The sequence below is a fragment of the Homo sapiens genome, chromosome 9 (genome assembly GCF_000001405.40).
Source record: "Homo sapiens chromosome 9, GRCh38.p14 Primary Assembly".
Lineage (NCBI taxonomy): Eukaryota > Metazoa > Chordata > Mammalia > Primates > Hominidae > Homo > Homo sapiens.
The window spans coordinates 8,586,928-8,605,539 of record NC_000009.12 but is presented as its reverse complement, the minus strand read 5'-3'; the positions used below and the strand labels follow the sequence as shown (position 1 = coordinate 8,605,539).

At 37.3% G+C, this 18,612-nt stretch overlaps 1 protein-coding gene across 55 annotated transcripts in view, besides 1 other annotated feature; it reads left to right on the top strand.

Moving 5' to 3' along the window:
• PTPRD (protein tyrosine phosphatase receptor type D) overlaps positions 1-18,612 on the top strand; it is a 2,298,757-nt gene that overhangs the window by 2,007,463 nt on the left and 272,682 nt on the right. The window lies entirely within an intron of this gene.
• Positions 4,973-5,473: an enhancer, noted in NCBI's record as "H3K4me1 hESC enhancer chr9:8600067-8600567 (GRCh37/hg19 assembly coordinates)". NCBI's record gives its function as "activates a minimal SCP1, AML or CMV promoter by ChIP-STARR-seq in primed H9 embryonic stem cells {active_cell/tissue: H9 hESC(primed)}" and the evidence as "EXISTENCE:reporter gene assay evidence [ECO:0000049][PMID:30033119]".

Below are 18,612 nucleotides of genomic sequence, written 5' to 3'. Positions count from 1 at the left end.
ACCCATGTTTGTTTTCTGACTGTAACCACTGAGGAGTCTTCACTGAAGCTCTTCTCTTTTGTGAAATGAAAGAATCCGCCTTCTTTGACCCAATGGTTTCAGGTCATCTCAAAAATGGTTTTGGTGAGGTAGAAAATGGCTCTCAGTTTTTTTTCTCTAGTTCGGTTGAATGAGCTCAAAGAGCAGGCAAAACTATGATAATGAAGTTAAATTCACAACCCATTAAACCTAAGCCAATAGTTAAGTCCAATTATGCTTAGCACTTGCAGCTTACATAAATATTAAATTGTCAGGTTTAATATACTTCAAAATTTGCTCACCCACATTTTTCCAACTTCATTATTTTAAGGTCTGCTGAGGCATATTATGTTGGCAAAATGCTTTCTTGCTGAAGAGGTTGATAGAAGAAGAGTTTATTTGTGGCAGTTGGGTTGGGAGCATGGGCAGTTGCACAGTTTGATAGGCCAGAGGTTACCAAGAGTGATTCAACTAATAGATTAAAAGATGGCAGTTTATTTTTGTTTTGTTACTTAAATAAATGGAAAACCCAGAAATCAAATTGCTATTGTTCCTAAATAAGTTGCATGGAAAATAACTTGCTTACTTTCCCATACCTCCTCACTGGATATTTGCACCTAAATGTATTGCAGTAATCTCAGGCTATACATGTTAAGGGATGACCTTATTTTCTCTCCCATTTTCTATATTTTCCATCTCAGTTAATGGCATCATCATACCCGTTTATGAAAGCCTGAAAACTCACAGACTTACTTGATTTCTCTTTTCCTCCTTATTCCACCAAACTCAGTAGGCAATAGCTTAGGAGATAATTGATTACTTCAGAAATGCATCTTAAATTTGACCTCCTCTTTTCATGCTATATTTATCTGATTTAGCTTGAGTCCCCCTTATTGCTTTGGGGATTTTTGCAAGGGTTTTGGCATCTGTTCCTTGACTGTCCACTTTGGTATCATTCCCCAGTGGCTATAGGAGAAAACCCTGAGGCAGTATGGCCAGGGTCCCTTGCTGGCCTCATCTTGGACTTACCCTTATCTGATGTAATGTACTTCATGCTCTTGTCAGGCTGAACTTTCCACTCAAAAAATATCATGCTGTGCTTGTATTTCTCTGCCTTAGTAAGTCTTCTTCCTTTCCCACCCTATCTGTGATTCATCCAGTTAATGTTTACTGGGAAATCTATTCCTCTGAAAAAGATCTAGCTCATATATTACTTCCCTGGCTATTTTCTGAGATCTAATGGTCCTCTCTTGTGTGCCACTGTGGCACTTTGCTCTTTCCTCGACTATACCTTAAAGCATTGTGTTTTACTTCATGCATGGGTCTCCCCTCCTCTCCTGGGAGGATCTTGAGGTTAGAGACTATGTCTTGTTTTTGAGTTCCTTACTTTACAACAACAGTACTGGGCACATAGTAGATTGTCAATGAATGTTAATTCATTGACAGTATGATATGCTGGAAGCTGAAGTGAAGAATTAAACACTCTCAGCATAATTGTTTAATTTTGGATATATGTAGTTGTGAGAATAGCTATATTGTGTTTCCAGGACAGGTAGGAGAAACTTTGAGGCATGGTTGATAGGAAACACATTATAGTGTCTAATGCTTTTTAATACAAAGTACATGTTTTCATTGTAGCCTTTCTTCTAATTAGTTGGGCTTTTCCATTAAGGGATTTCACTATAACTAAATTGTGAAATATTTGCATGTGGAAGCAATGTATAATTGTTTGTTTCCTCCAAAGTCCTGAAAATATTTCTAATTAATACTTTATTATTGATAGATTGATTATATCAATGGATAGGAGAGTTAGGACATGTACTTTTCATCAACTTCCCTTATAAGTAACAACTATAGTTGGATTTATATTCTAAGTTGATTAATCGTCTAACTGCTTGCTGAATTCGGGTGACTTCTATTGACAGCATCTGCTTCTCATATAAAGGAAGTATTTAACTTAAAAAATGGTGCTTGGGGTGCTAAGGTTCTTCTTTTTATTCACGTTATAGGAAAAAAGTTCTCAAATAAGTGAGAAAGCAAACCGTTAAGGAGATGTAGCTCCAGTGTTACAAAGTAAATACTTTTGAAACCACTGACTGGAGAAAGCTGTCTATAGGGCCAAAGACCCAGCCTTTCTACTCACACCAAGAGTTTAAACTGTTGTCTAAGTACAATATAATATTTAAGAAAACTTAGATTTTTTTCTTTTGCAATTACAATAAAAGCAACCTTTAAATCCAGTTTAATCTAATAATTGCCTTGTAGTTCCCCAGCTGATGTCTGTAAAGAGTAATGAATGATTTTACAAAGACTGAATTAAGCAACTTATAAATGGTGAAACCTCTGAAGTCAATGCAAGTTTATTAAAATCATTATTAGTTTCTGGTAAGGATTATAGTATACTTCCATGAATACAAATCATCTTGCAGGTAATAGAATACTACTTATGATTAAGAACCTCTGTTTGAAACCTAAAAATTGATTAAGACAGGTTTAGTTGCTATATTTTTTTGCAGTGTTGTTGGAATCTCTTCATCTTCCAGTGGCAGCAGTCTAAGGAAGACTAATTCAGTGGTGGGTTTGACTAAAGGGGATTATATCGAATGAGTTTATGCAGATGAATGAATTAGTTGAATGAGTATATGCAGGTGCATAGAGATGGAGATGGAATTAAAGCTAGGATACAGATATAGAAAGATATTCACATTCATTTTGTGTATATACAAATGCATATATATGCACATGCATCCATATTCATTTATTTATGTAACTGCATGTTTCTCTTAGTTTGGGCATGGTGCTGACTCTGGAAAAATATTGATGCAGGTTGAGTTCATTCAAGTTGACAGTCTTTTCTATTGACGATTGTCTGTAGTGTCTGAGCACATGAGACTATTACAAAGAGATGTTGAAGGCCGTTTTGGTTTTATGTCAGATAAAAACATGCTGATTCCTGCTGCAGTTTTGAAAAACAATTTTAAAAATTAAATATTTGTTTGTATATTGTCTTTTTACACGTTTAGGGAATTCATCATCTCATGAAACAATGGTCTCTGGTATTCTCATTCCTGATAAGGCTCATAGTAAGTTTATATCATGTGGCAAGAGTCACAGTTGCTGTTGTCATCCTATTTATAAGTGGAGAGAAGAAGCACCACCAAAGGCTTATACAGACAAGGTAGTGTGAAGTCTCAGAAGCCCTGGGCAATGAGGAAGGTGTATGCCAGCAATATCTAGGGGTCTTTACAGATAGATGTAATTGTAAACACCTTAATTGTGAAAACATGTTCACAGTTTTCTATTTAGAACTATTGGCTCAGGTGAAAGATAGAATGCTAAGGTCGTTTATAGAAACACTTTTCTTTCACCAGTTTATTGGACATTGTGCCTGTAAATATATGCAGAGGGAGTTCCTGTCATGTTCCATTTTTCCCTCCTTTTCATCTTCTGTTTGGTAGCACATTGCTAAGTGTAAGTGACTGAGTGTAGAGATGGAGATCTGATATCTTCTACCCTTTTCTGTCCTTGCAGTGCACTACATTGGGTCACCATTGTCACTACCTATAATTATTTTCATCTCCATACTGGAGGTCCATTCCAGGCTGGTTGTGTACCTTTTGTACCTAGATTCCCCAATCTGGCACAATGACTAGGTGCTTGATACATATTTCTTAACTGACTAAATTAATAAATGTATGGTTTTCTAATTTTCCTTTTCCAACCCTGATAATATGTGCTTTTGATCATTTGAATTCTATGCTATTCGTTTAAGAATTTACTCTGTGACAACACTGTCAATCAGTAGGAAAAACAATACTGCCATCAGTAGCATCCCAACCCCAATAGCACAGTGGTTCTTGGAGACTTGTAGATGTTTTGCCATTTTGGTCTTGGATAGGCTCCAGAAAAGTTCTGTGCATTACCAGGCAGAAACTGTTGTTCTCTTGCCTTACTTTCTCCCAAACAAATGGAGTCTGTCTCTGTGTGCTGAGCTGCCTGGAGCCAAGGGTGAGGTCATAGAAAAAACCCTGTGGCCATCACCACTGGGACTATGCTGTGTCATAGCTGAAGCAAGAATAGCACTGAGTCTTGCCCAAGGCCTGCTGTAACCATTACCTGGCTACTATCTATGTTTGCTCAAGGCCATAGGGCTCTACAGTCTGCAGGTGGCAAAGCCATCCAGGCCTTCTTTTAAGGGTGGTGAGTTCTGCCAGGCTTGTGGCAGATTCAGAGATGCCATCTGGGAGCCAGGGACTGGAGTCAAAAACTTTAGAAGTCTACTTGGTGTTCTAGTCTGCTGTGGCTGGGCTGGCAATAAAGCCATATGACATAGTGCTTCTCACTCTTCGGTCCCCTTTCCACAGATAGAGGAACATCACACCATGGCCACCACCACGGGCCCATAGGGAGTACTGCCAAGCTCCTGCCAGTGTTCACTTAAGGCCTAAAAGCTCTTCAGTCAGCTTGTGGCTGCCAGGACTGGGACTCACCCTTCAAGGCGATCAGCTCTTTGGCCCAGGGCAGGTCTAGAAATGCCATCCAGGATGCTGGGGACCCGGAGAGCCTGCCTGGTGCTTTACCCCACTATGGCTGAGCTGGTACCTCAGGTGCAAGACAAAGTTTCTTTTTTATTTTTCCCTCTGCTTTTCTCAAGCAGAAGCAGTTTCTCCCCATAGCCACCACAGTTGGTAATATGATGGTTCTCACCTGAAACCAGCATGTGTTTGAGACTTACCCAAGGCCTGTGGTATATTACCTGGGTATTACTGCTGGTTCTTTAGGGACTAAGGGCTCTTTAGTCAGTAGGGTCTGGATTCTGCCTGGACTGGGTCCTTTGCTACAAGGCAGCAGGTTCCCTTCTGGCCAAAGATGTGTCTAGAAATATCAGGGACCTGGGGCCTATAATGGGGACCTCATGACCTGACCAGTGCCCCATCCTACTGTGGCTGTGTGGGCATCCAAGATGCAAGACAGAGTCCTCTTTACTCTTTCCTCTTCTATTCTCAAGCAGAAGGAAAGGGTGTCTTTTAGAGCTGTGAGCTTTGCTGCCTGGTGTTGATGGAGGGGTGATCCAAGCACTCCCTTAACTACCCAGGCTGGAGTGTTAGTAGGTTACATGCCCCTCCAGTCCACTGGCCGTGAGCCCAGTGCAGCACTAGGACTTGCCTAGGAATTTCAGTATTTGTGGCCTAGACTGCCCCTGGAGTTCACATACGGCCTCAGAGTGCTTCAGCCTGTGATGGTGAGGCTTGTGGGAACTCAAGCTCTGACTGCTGGGATGGGCAATCCCCTCCGTCTGGCTAGGCCAGTCCAAATGCCCCCTCCATGGGCAGGTGTCGGCTGAATACAGCCTGGTTCTGCTTTCCACTGTGAGAGGGCAGCACTGAGTTGGATGAAAGCCTCCCATTCACTGTGCTCCACCCATCCCAAGCACATAGATTCCTTACACTACCAGGCTGCAGCCAGGGGATGGGGGAGGGGCAGCGTGGGCAATTCACCACTGTCTTTTCTACCTTCTTCAGTGCCTCTTTCAACAATATGAAATCAAAATTAGGCACTGCGAGTGCTCACTTGATTTTTGGTTTCTACCAAAGGGGAGGGGCCGGCCAGGCGCCGTGGCTCATGCCTGTAAATTCCAGCAATTTGGGGGGCCGAGGCTGGTGGATCATCTGAGGTAGGGAATTTGAGACCAGCCTGACCAACATGGAGAAGCCCCGTCTCTACTAAAAGTACAAAATTATCCAGGCGTGGTGGCGCACGCCTGTAATCCCAGCTACTCAAGGAGGCTGAAGCAGGAGAATCGCTTCAACCCAGGAGGCGGAGGTTGCAGTGATCGCGCCGTTGCACTCCAGCCTGGGCAACAAGAGTGAAACTCCGTTTCAAAAAAAAAAAAAAAAAAAAAAAAAAAGGGTGGGCGGGTGGGGGAAAGGGCCATCAGTAGAGCCCTCATCCATCTTGCGTTCCCCCTTTTGTTTTCTGTGAATTTTGTGTTTTGTAACTTTCTACTTTTGAATTAAGAAAAAAAAGTATCAAAAAAATTCATTACTCCAGAGTTATTGTTTGCATCAGTTTTGCAAACACAAGATGTTCCATAGGTAACTGATGCTTCAATGACTTTTGTTTTGTTTTTACTTTTCAGAAGAGATGGGGTGCATTCAGGGTGATATAGACAGATATGGCCATAGACAGTTTTTACTTTTTGTTTTAGTCTGTTCCCACGCTGCTAATAAAGACATACCTGAGACTGAGTAATTTATAAAGGAAAGAGGTTTAACTGACTCACAGTTCCACATGGTTGGGTAGGTCTCACAATCATGGTAGAAGGCAAATGAGAAGTAAAGTCATGTTTTACATGGTGGAATGCAAGAGAATGTATGCAGGAGAACTCCCCTTCATAAAACCATCACATCTCATGAGACGTATTAAGTCTCATGAGAACAGCTTGGGAAAGACCTGCCCACTTGATTCAGTTATCTCCCACCGGGTCCTTCCCAGGACACGTTATAATTATGGGAGCTACAATTCAAGGTGAGATTTGGATGGGGACACAGACAAACCGTATCATTTTTCAGTTAAAGTTCAACCTTTGTCTCCTTTTCCAGCAAAGGAGCAGAACTCTATACACTCTGTATCTTTTGCTATTTTGCTTCTACGTCTTGAAATGTCTAGACTTGGGATTAATGATTCCAACTTGGCTCATAGATTGATAACCCAAGCATTTTAACTCGTTGGAAGACAGCATTTCTCTGAGAAGGTCAGACAGTGGTTTCCTTTACAAATGGCTCTTCCAATGAAAGATCCTCTCCCATTCATGATGAAGGATACTTTTTAGTGCTATGAAGTATAAGCAGCATTGTACATTTGATTGGTTTTTGGAAATAATTGCTTGTGTTAAAAGGCATGATCTGATAGAAAGACCATTTTCCTAGCCTGTTTTCTAAGGGTCAAAAATATTATGCTTTCATATTGACTGATTATATGTCCTTTATTGTTTCAGTACTTTGATACTTTTCAGATGCTGGGTTTATTTGTTTATTTATTTATTTATTTATTTTATTTTTTTGAGACAGTCTTGTTCTGTTGCCTAGGCTGGAGTGCAGTGGCATGATCTCGGCTCACTGCAGCCTCTGCCTCCTGGGTTTAAGCAATTCTCCTGCCTCAGCCTCCCGAGTAACTGGGATACCTGGGACCAAAGGAGCATGCCACCATACTGGGCTAATTTTCATATTTTTAATAGAGACAGGGTTTCACCATGTTGGCCAGGCTGGTCTCAAACTCCTGACCTCAGGTGATCTGCCCTCCTCGGCCTCCCAGAGTGCACTGGCTATTTTTGAACAATAATCTCATTGTAGAAAATTTGGAGAATGTATGAAAGTCTAATCATGATCCAGTGACTCAGATAAATACTGTAAACATGTTGGTAGATGTTCTCTCAGGCTTTTCTCCATGCATATTTATATGTTTGGCTCTTCTCTAACTAGTAAGGGGATAAAAAGACCCCTATCTTCTTTAGTACCAAAATGAGAGATGTTTATAGATGGCATAAAAAGTTATTAATACATTTGTAATTTTCTTCAGGATGATGAGTCCTTTGTGTCTTTAAACAAGTTGGTCCAAGAAAAATGAGTACATTTTTCTTTTAAATAATAATAAATATTTGGGATAGTGGATTATACTTGTCATAGGAGGTTAATGAAGAGTGAAAAAACAAATCTGAGTATTTTTACCAATTCAGACAGATTCTGTATGAATGCCAAGCCACATAAGTATTTGAGAATATAAGTTACATCTAGGGCTCACAGTGTTCAGGGCCATATTGAATAAAGAAACACAACTCCTTGGGAACATCAGTGAGCATGAAATTGATATTGATTTAGAGCCCAACAAAAAGTGTTCAGAAATCTGAAATGTAGTTCTAAATGTAAACTTGAATGCATTCTGTTTTTTATTTGATCTTTCCTTCTTCCTTTTATTTTCACTGTTGTAAAAATATTTTCTCCTTTTTTTTGTTTTATTTTGATATTTTTGCTTTTATTGTTTGTATAAATGCAAAGATTGGTAAATTCTTTGTGGAACAAGGAGGGTGTATTAACAGGTATATGAATAATTTTAAAAAAAGCCAAAGTAGCACTGAATGGAAATATAGAACTGAAACATAATTGGTAAGGGGAGGAAACTTACTTTATAAAAACAGGGATAGGCAGAAATTTATATATTTCAATCTTATTCTTGTCTTGATATTTTGTCTCATTTCTTTCCAATTTTTGAGGCTATTAACTAGAATCCCTGTAAGCTATTTAAAGTACTAACTCAAAGACTGCTCTTCCAGGGTTAAATCTAGGAAAACAGAAAGATTCCCCCTTTAACCCTTCACTTTGGGAATAAATGAAAAGGCAGAATTGATAATGGCAGTCATTTGTAACGCATGATTGTAATTTTAAAAATGCGCTTTTTTTCTGTTACAATTGATTTATTTGAGCAAATCTACCATATTTTTTAGTGTAATTAATAGAAGCCATAAATCTCTGCAAGCTGTTTCTGTTAACAGCACAGTAATATAGGAACATGAGGTTTTAGGATGACATCCTGTTAGATATTTAGCTAAAAATTGTATGCACCATTTATTAAATGTGTCAAATGGAGTCCAACCATAGCACCTTAAAAACCAAAGCTATCACAAGTTTACTTAGTTTCCCAATACCTTATGTAGCAAAGCTGTTTATCAACAATATTGTTGCTTTGTGTTGCCTAGCTTAGATAAGGATTAAATATTATAGCATTGTTTAGGACTCTTAACACAGATTTTATTAAATGTAGTTTATGTGTCTAAATATATTAGTACTATTGTATATATTGTAAATACTTCCTTTTAATCAATTATAATGTATTGATTAACCTGCAGTTCCTTAAGATGGCCAAATGATAATATTGAAACCAGTCTTGTTTTTCAAAATAACTGGACTTTTCTTTCTCACTTTCCGCATTGTTTCTGCTCCTCTGCAGGCCTCTTGTCGTCTGTTTTTTTCTTTATGTGTTAACGATGCTTATTCTAAGTTCATAAATAGAACCATGAACTCAATGTAATTTACATTTGTTTAAATAATGTAGTATATTAAGCATCTTTTTTATTTTTTTCAGATCTTCCCCAGAGTGCTTTAAAAGTAATTATTGTATTTGTCCACTTGCTAATTTATTTTTGAGACTGTATTATAAATGCGTATATTTATCCATATAATCCATATATCCATATAATCCATATAATCCATAAAATCCATATATTTTATGTGATGGAGTATTATTTTCATATTAAGATAATTCATGATATGCAAAATACTATATTATTTTTTCTTGTATTTTATATCTTACAATGATTGGTGAACCTCACATTACCCTGCATTACTATGAATTCTATAGTTTTATCAAATAGGATATATTACTTTTGTGAAAAAGATAAATATGTTTAGAATCTCTGATACCTGTGCCTTTAAGACATATTGAAGCTTTTAAGAAAATCCTTGATCAGCCTGTTATTTCCTTCCAGGAACTTAACCTATGATTTGTAGCGATATACAATGGCATAGGCACAACATAGAATTGCATCTGTTGTGGGTAACTAAGATAAGTGTCTAGCCTACTGAAGACATACTAACTTACACCTTTAAAGAGAGACACATAGAGCAGGAATTTTTAAAAGTCAACACACATGGATTACGCATCATTACTTTTTCTTATTAATTAGGCTATAAGCTCAGTGAAAACAAGAGCACCTTCTGATTCATTATTATGACCTCCAATACAGTAAACTTAGTAAATAATTCTAAAGAAGAGTGTTTATTGAATTAAACTAACTTTTCGATGCACTTCATGAATAGCATTAAGACAAAACTAAACTTTCTAAGCACAAAGAGTTTATCTTGATGCTCTTAAACTGTTGCCATTAACTTTCCCAGACATTGGTTTGTTATATTACATATATATGAAAGATTATGTGACTATACATACATATATAAAGTCTACATGTGTGTACATTGTTTTTCTCCACTCATGGCTTATATCCAGATAAAAGCAGTACTAATTTTTTTCCCTCTAAGCACTGAATGCCCCTGTATGGCATTTAAATTCTAAACTGTCTCTCTCAACATAGGTATATGGTTCAAATAAGCTTTGATTGGCTATATGGTTTTGTATGTCAACACCTGGCTGATCCTTCTTGTTTTTTAAAAAACTATTTTTCAGAGTAAGCTTATCATGTGATCAAACTCTTCTGCCATAGTTTGGTTGTCTGCAATCTTTTCACACATTTTGACTTAAAGTTTTTTATTTAATTTGCCATAAAAAAAAAAAAAAAACAGGTTTAGGGGCTGGGTGTGGTGGCTCACACCTGTAATCCCAGCACTTTGGGAGGCCGAGGCGGGCAGATCATGAGGTCAGGAGATCTAGACCATTTTGGCTAACACGGAGAAACCACGTCTCTACTAAAAATACAAAAAAATTAGCTGGGCATGATGGTGGGGGCCTGTAGTTCCAGCTACTCAGGAGTCTGAGGCAGGAGAATGGAGTGAACCTGGGAGGCGGAGCTTACAGTGAGCCAAGTTTGCGCCACTGCACTCCAGCCTGGGTGACAGAGTGAGACTCTGTCCCAAAAAAAAAAAAAAAAAAAAGGGGTTAAACATATATGATTTCATTCTCATACTGCTATAAAGAAATACTCAAGACTGGGTAATTTATAAGAAAAGAGGCTTAATCAACTCACAGTTCTTCATGGCTGGGGAGGTCCCAGGAAACTTAGAATCATGGCAGAAAGGGAAGCAGGCACGTTTTACATGGCCGCAGGCAAGACAGAGCGAGAGCGTCGGAAGGAGGAACAGTCAAACACATATAAAACCATGATCTTGTGAGGACTCACTATCATGAGAATAGCATGGGGGAAACTGCCCCCATGATCCAATCACCTCCCACCAGGTCCCTCCCTCGACATGTGGGGATTACAATTCAAGATGAGATTTGGATGGGGACACAGCCAAACCGTATCAAATGATTAGGTGGATTTTTCAATATATTGTGGAGTTGTTTGCCAGGATTTATATTATATATTTGAGTTCTGATGTTTGTGCCAAACATTTTAATATTAGAGAATGATTACAGATTCTTAGGAGATCTTTGATAAAGTAAACTTTTCCATTTGTTTGAAATTTCTTTGTAAGTTTTCTATTATAGAAAAGTGAGATAATTAGGATTTATGTTTATTTGGTTTGATTTTTGTCTTTAAAAAACAGCAGACTTTGGAGTAGAGGATAAAACATTTAAAGTAATTGAGTGTCATGGAGTGGGGATTGTAAAGTGGAGATTGGAGATTAGATTTATTCTGTGTGATTTCACATGTCAAACCAATCCAGCAAAAAAAGCAAACACTAGAATTAGTGGAAATTACTGGGCATTATATATTACATCAATGTAGTGCCTTTTCTACTATTAGGAAGTTAACTTGGGATCTAGAGAAGTCCCTATCACTCATATCAGTAGTATATGCATAACTACTATATGTGAATATATGAGATATGCATATATATGTATCCTACTGGGAAAGACCTCACTAGGTTCCCAGGGCCAGCTCTTTGAGAATCAGTGGTATAATGAAATGCTCAGAAAGAAAAGATGGAAGTTCTCTTTAATCATGTTGTATCCATTTCACCAGCTATGATGGTTCTCTGGAGGCCATTTGCCAAGGGTGCTATGATCATCATCACCATTTGTGATACTTGTTTGCTGGTTTTAGAAGTTGCATTTTCCAAAATACTAAACAGCTCTTTCATTGAAAATCTACCACTCCTCTTAAGGATATGGCCTCGAAACCTTTTATGATACAGTGTTTCACACCAATAAAGAATCAAATTGTGAGACATTTCTGCTATTAAGATATCACTGTCTACTCCACATTGGTAAGATGTTTCTCCAGCTATACTATGAGGAAGTAGGAGTTTACAAAAAGAAGTTAATGTCATTTTGAGAAGATCTACTAGTTATATCTACCAGTTATATCTCCTTATTTGAGGTCTGGAAACTTGTTTCTTACTTGAAATTAGAAATAGCAACAACAAAGGCAAGCTTACAATAAACAAGTGTGACCTTTCACCAGGTCTACGTACCTTTTGTTCCACACTGGTTCTGTAGGCATTAAAACTGAATGGTCCAGGGAGACCATAGATATATTATGAATTTGTAGTCAAGCATCTTCTGTATCAGGTGCTGACTTTACCATCTTAACCATCCTTAGCAAAATTTGACCTCACAAAGATAAAGATAAACGCCCTCAAGCAAGGTCTTTTTTCAATCAAATGCTTTCAGTTGAAAATTTTGTTTCTTTTATGATTTCCTAACACTTCTGAGAATATGACTTTCCAAAGAAGTCCTCATCAGTGACAGTAAGTAAGCTCTTCCTAGTTTCTCCTCAGCCATCCTTTCCAGCCTTGTCTTTTGCTGTTCCCCTATTTCTTCCTTTCATACCAGCCACATAAAAACATCCTGAGCTTCCCAAATGTACTGCCCTTATTTATGTCTGTTGGAAATTGCTTTCATATTTGTTTATATTGTCCTTCTTGATTCTTTCTGTCAAACCTCTACCTATCCTTCACGATTCAACTTAGGTGCTACCACCTGTCTTTGACTTCGTTCAGTAAAGTTAGTTATCTTCTCGTTGAGTCTATATTATGTAATAGCTGCATTAACACGCAGCATGTTATATTACAATTATTTGTTATCTTTTAAGCACTAATTTAGTGAAAATCTTCAAGCACAGCAACCCTTATGTGCTTCGAGACACCAATTATCTCAATATCTGCCACTCAGTAACCACGATATTCAACCTTTGTCATGTGAATAAAGAAAAGACATCAGGAAGCCTGCTTATTATTTTGGTGAGACACTTTAAAGAACTGTAGAATCAGGACAGTCAGTATCTCAAGTGTGAATGCCTTTGGTGTCGACTGTAATCAAAATGAAAGATGTAGAATCCTTGGAATTTCTACTCTGCAAGTAAAGAGCTGTGCACGTTCCCAGAGCTATTCAAGTCCTTGTATGTCAGTGGCAAGCAGTTACTCACTTAGGAGTCAACTCTAACTCCCTATAGGCCATATGCACTATTGTTCATTATCACTGACACACCAGGTGCTTAGATTGGTTTTAAAGTTTAGTCAGCTAAAGCGGAAAGGATATTTTACATGATCAAGTCAGGTTTGTGTGAGTGGGTTGAATTTGGGGGTGTACTTTGAGTCTGAGTAGTTGTTTGAAGAGTGAAACTTTAAGAAGAGCTAGAAGGAGGGCATTGAGTTTAGCTGAAAGGGTTTAGTATCAAGACAAATCTGTCTGATTAAGTGTATTGTCAATATGTCTTATTTTTAATTTTTCCACATAGTTCTTTTAAAATTTAAATTTCCATGTTAAAGTCACCATATTTTGATACTTTTTGACCCCGTACATTTTATTTCAAAGTTATTTTAATAAATATATGCGATTACAAGGCTGGACTGGAATTAATTCTGTAAAACCAACAGCTAGCTGCCCCAAATTTATTTTTTCTCTGTCCAGAAATTCATGCAGCTTGAGTCAAATCTAAATTTAAAGGAAGGGAATTAAACTTATTTATGGCCAACTAGCTCTTTACACTGAAGGCTATTCCGTTAGAAGGTTTACATAGTGAATACAGAGTTCACATTTAAAGCTTGATTTAGTCTTGTATCCTATGCTTAAACTGAAATTCTGTGATATATAAGTGAGATTGCTATTTCTAGTTTGGTTTGCTCTCTAGGCTCATGGAATGGCAACTCTTTCATTACTCTCAGACTTGGTAATTTAGCCAACTAGACGTGTCCTTCTGAATTTGAGCTTCAGAAATTCTTAAGATAATATTCAATTAAATCACTTGGAAAATGTCCACCTCCTCCTACATTCTTTCTCCTCTTGCTTCCATTTTTCATAAATTATTCTGTTTGATTTTGATTGCAATCAAGCAGTTTATCTTTTGAAAATTAAATCCAACCTGCCAATAAAAAAACACCTTGGATCAGTGTATAGAAGTCAGTGAAGTCAAAATGAAGTTGAATAAACTCTCCCAACAGAAGAGTGTCAGATGTGTCTTCCTTTGAAGTTTTCACCATTCACAGGCAGGAGCAAAATATGATTTTCATTATTCTTGGTTGTGGGTAGACCAAATAATGGCCCTGACCATCCCACTCCAAATCACGACTAGTTCCTATTCTTTGGAACCTTGTGATGACTATGTTACCCTACAAGGCAAAGGGAAATTAAGGTTGCAGATGCAGTTGATGTTACTATTCATTTGTCCTTAAGTGAGGGAGATTATTCTGGGTTATCCAGGTGAGCCTAATGTAATAATAAGGGTCTTTAAATTGGAGGCAGAGGAGTCAGTGTCAGAATTATGCAAAATGAGAAAGACTCAGCTGGCCTTTGCTGGCTCTGAAGATGAAAAAGGATCACAAGCCAAGGAATGTGGGCAGCCTCTAGAAACTGGAAAATGCAAGAAGGAAGATTCTCCCCTATAGCCTCCATAAAGGACTGCTAACATCAGTCCTGCTGACACCTCAGTCTAACCCAGTGAAACTCATATGGGACTTCTGACCTCCAGAACTGAAAAATAATAAATGTTTTTGTTTTAAGCCATCGAGTTTGTGACAGCTAATTATAACAGCAGTAGGAAACTAATTACCTACCTTAATTTTAGACAGAACTATTCTGTTTGGTTTGTAGCTGGTTAAACTTGCATGCAAATCCCTAGTATTTCTATATTTACTATCCATATGCCTTTGTGACCCCTGCTCTTCACACCAAAGAAACATTTTAAGAATTCCTTTGAGTCATTCATTTGTTTGAAAACATCCATTCTGTTCATACCTAGTGCCAGTTAGTGAACACAGTGTCTTTTTGGTTTTTGGGTTGCAAGATGGGAAAGTAGCTACAGGCTTCAAATGTAAAAATATAATCTCTAGGAAGAGAAGGACAGGAAACTTGATAATCCTATCACCCATAAGTGAAAGAGACTAAGGCATGTAAAACTTGATTGGTTGCAACTTTCTACCCACCCTCTGATAAGTCTTCTGCACACTTGAATTTTAGGATATAGCACACAACCATGCAGCGTTCTCCAAATAAAATACCTTGGAAGACGTAATTAACTTAGTTCAGAACAAGTCATTATTATTCTTGGATATCCACACTTATATTACCTCCGCAGAGCTCTTATGTCATATTTAGAACTTCATTCATTTTTTCTTGAGCTATTTTCAACCCTAGCTTAAGGAAGTCTATATTTGATTCAGATACTTGGACCATCTGGTTTCTATTATCAGCTTTAATAAAATCAATTCCAGCTCATATTATGACTGTACTATATCTATACAGATTGTATAGATATAATATCTATGTACCCTTAAGTATGGCCTAGGTCATAATCCTTGGAACCTCGTGAACATTGCAAAAACCGACGTTCATAACCCCAGAAATCTTTGTTACCGAGGTTCAGTCATTATTAGTTGACCAAGTGAACGCAAGCAATTTCTGTTATTTCCAGCATAATTTTCTTCCAGAAAATTTCCTAATTTACATTTTCCAAATTTGCAAATATACGTTTGAAATTGAACGTAGCCACTGTGAGACTTCAGCAGTATTCACTGCAATCTACAAAACATTATAACAGGTTGTGTAGGCACAGTTCAGGAATCAGAGGAATGTGTCAAGTTTCTCATTCAAACGGAAGCATGACTTTGTTGATTTCTGAGGTGGCAGACGTGCCAACGCAACCAAGTACCAGGATACTATCCAAGACAGGTTTCTGGAGAGGAACAACCCCTGCTGGGAACTCACTGTCATCTACAGAAATTGGATTGTGTTCTGAACTCCATGTTCTAGTTTTTAAGTCACAAATAGCTTATGGTGACAGTGAATTCCTACTCCAAGTAGTATCTTGTTTTCAACATGGTTAATTCAGATAATTAGAATTAGGTTGGAAGGTTTTCATATTTTTTCTTCCATGTTTTCTTATTGTATTTCTTGAGAATACATTTATAAAGAATCAAGCGACAAGTCAGAAAGTCGCTGTGATTATGCTTAATTGTTTATGATTTAGTTCCAGAATTCCAGGACTTACGAGAACCATATCTAGAGTATTTTGCTACATTAAATGTTATTGTATGAGATGTGACTTTTAGTGTTTATCGGTTAAAATTTGTACTTATCTGAGAAGCAGAAGGGTATATGTTGAGCTTCCTGAAGATGCTTGTTTGGTTGGTGGGTTGATTGATTTGATCAGCACAGCAACTCTTCATAGTGTAAAGGTTAGCCAGAATAAATTCCTGTAAGAATACTTTCTTTGCAACATTTTCCTTTGCGCTAGAAATTCTGAATAATGTTGATGGTATATACTTATATATCACTCAAAATTTTCTATAGAGCTTTCCTATTTATTTTTAGTTTATAATAACCCAGTAAGAATCTATAGGGATTTCACATTATTTATATTTTAGTTTATAGTGACCCACTAAGAATAACTTTTATTAAATACAAATTCCTTGGCTCTTCGGTGGAAAGCCTGATTCAGGATGTCTGAAATATGGTCCAAGAATCTCTATTTTAACAATTATCCAGATTATCCTTTTGAAACAGGGAAGTTGCCTAAAGATTTCTCTGAAGAAGAATGAGGGTTATTCTTATTTCTGCTGGTTGATGAAGAAATTGAGGCAAAATCAATAACTTCCTAAGATTGCAGGTCAAGTAGTGTCTGGTTTTCTTTGCATTATCTGATACATGTATTATCTTGTATTATATTATCTTGGTACGTGTATGCACAGGTGTACACATGCCTGTGAGTTCTAGGAAGAAAATGAAAATATCTTTTCTCCTAAATGTTTTCTGATACAGTTATCACATTGCTAGTAGTTATAAATTGATTTATAAGCACACTTTTACCAAAGGATTATTCTTTCTATAATAAAGCAAAGAGCTAGATGCCTACAAAAAGAATTGTGGTTTAAAAAAAACAGTTCATTCCCTATCCACTGTTGTGTCTTTTATATTTCATAGTGTTGGAGACTTGAACTTCCAAAACACATTTTGGTTATTGCAGTTGTCATAAGCTTAATATGACTGTGACACAAAGAAATGTCAGCTGGTAAGATTTTCTTCAAAATATAAAGACTACAGCTGGCTTCTTATTTTTGTCCATTCTAAAGATACTGTGGCTAGCCTAATTTGTATGGGCCCACTGGATCATGCCTAATTAAGTTAATGAAGCTCTTCTGTAACAAGAACCCTCCAAAGGAAAATAAAAACACAGAATGAAATTTCAGAATGCAGATTAGCCTAGCTTTGCTGGCTTTCGCTCTCATGGGTAGAAGTCACAGAGTAAAACAAAATCCTTAAATTAAAACCAATTACACCATATAGGCAAAGATCAGGTTTACCTAAAATTGTCACGGGGGAGCTGCATGTGTTCTGAGGAGAATTGCCCATTGGCTGGTAGATTGTTGAAGGCTCTTGGCTTCTTAGCCTGAGATGCACAGAGCTATTATTTACTCCTTAATTCTCGTGACTTGATTATTTCAAGTACTTGTTGGCATCTTTGAGGATTTACGATTTTCATCTGGTCAGTGGAAACAGACATTCAGAAAATTATTTGCCACAGTCGGGATTTATATTTATGGATCTTTAAGTTTTGTCCTTTCCTACTAAGTGTTTTCCTCTTTCCTTTCTTGTAACACATGTTTCAAATTTCTTTGTTACTTGGCTGTAAGGACCATGTACAGCTTTCCAAGGCCGTTGAGGTCAGATATTTCATACCTAAGCATATCTTTATTTTCCTTTTGGGATATAAGAGAACTTTTAGTCTGTTGAACTTAATTTGATTTTTTTCCAAATTCAGCTTTCCATTTTATGTGATTAGGAAACTTTAAGGAATATTATATAGAAGGTTATATTTTACTCATTTTACTCAAAACATTTTGATTAAATATTTTCGAATTCTACAAGTTTGTTTAACTACAACGGTGGCAGAAGCCAATATGTATTTATTCTTTTCTTTTGAAGTATTAGGAAAAGGTCAGTGAAATTAGAAGAAACCTTGCATTACTGTAAAAGCTGCTGATTTTTGTACTGTTACAGAGGTGAACAAAATTATTAAAATATAAAATCTAAATAAATCCAAAATCTAAATAATGATCAAACCAGTTGTCATAACATGTCACTAGTGCCTCTGCAGATTTTTATTATTTGTAAGTAGTTGAATAAATAAAAATAAAAAGTGTAACCCTGGTCTCTTAATATTTCTAGGCTTCCGTTCTTTTTGTGTTCGTTTGTTTGTTTTTTTAGATGGAGTCTCGCTCTGTCGCCCAGGCTGGAGTGCAGTGGTGTGATCTCGGCTCACTGCAAGCTCTGCCTCCTGGACTCACACCATTCTCCTGCCTCAGCCTCCCGAGTAGCTGGGACTACAGGCACCCGCCACCACCATGCCCGCATAATTTTTTGTATTTTTAGTAGAGACTGGGTTTCACCGTGTTAGTCAGGATGGTCTCAATCTTCCGACCTCAT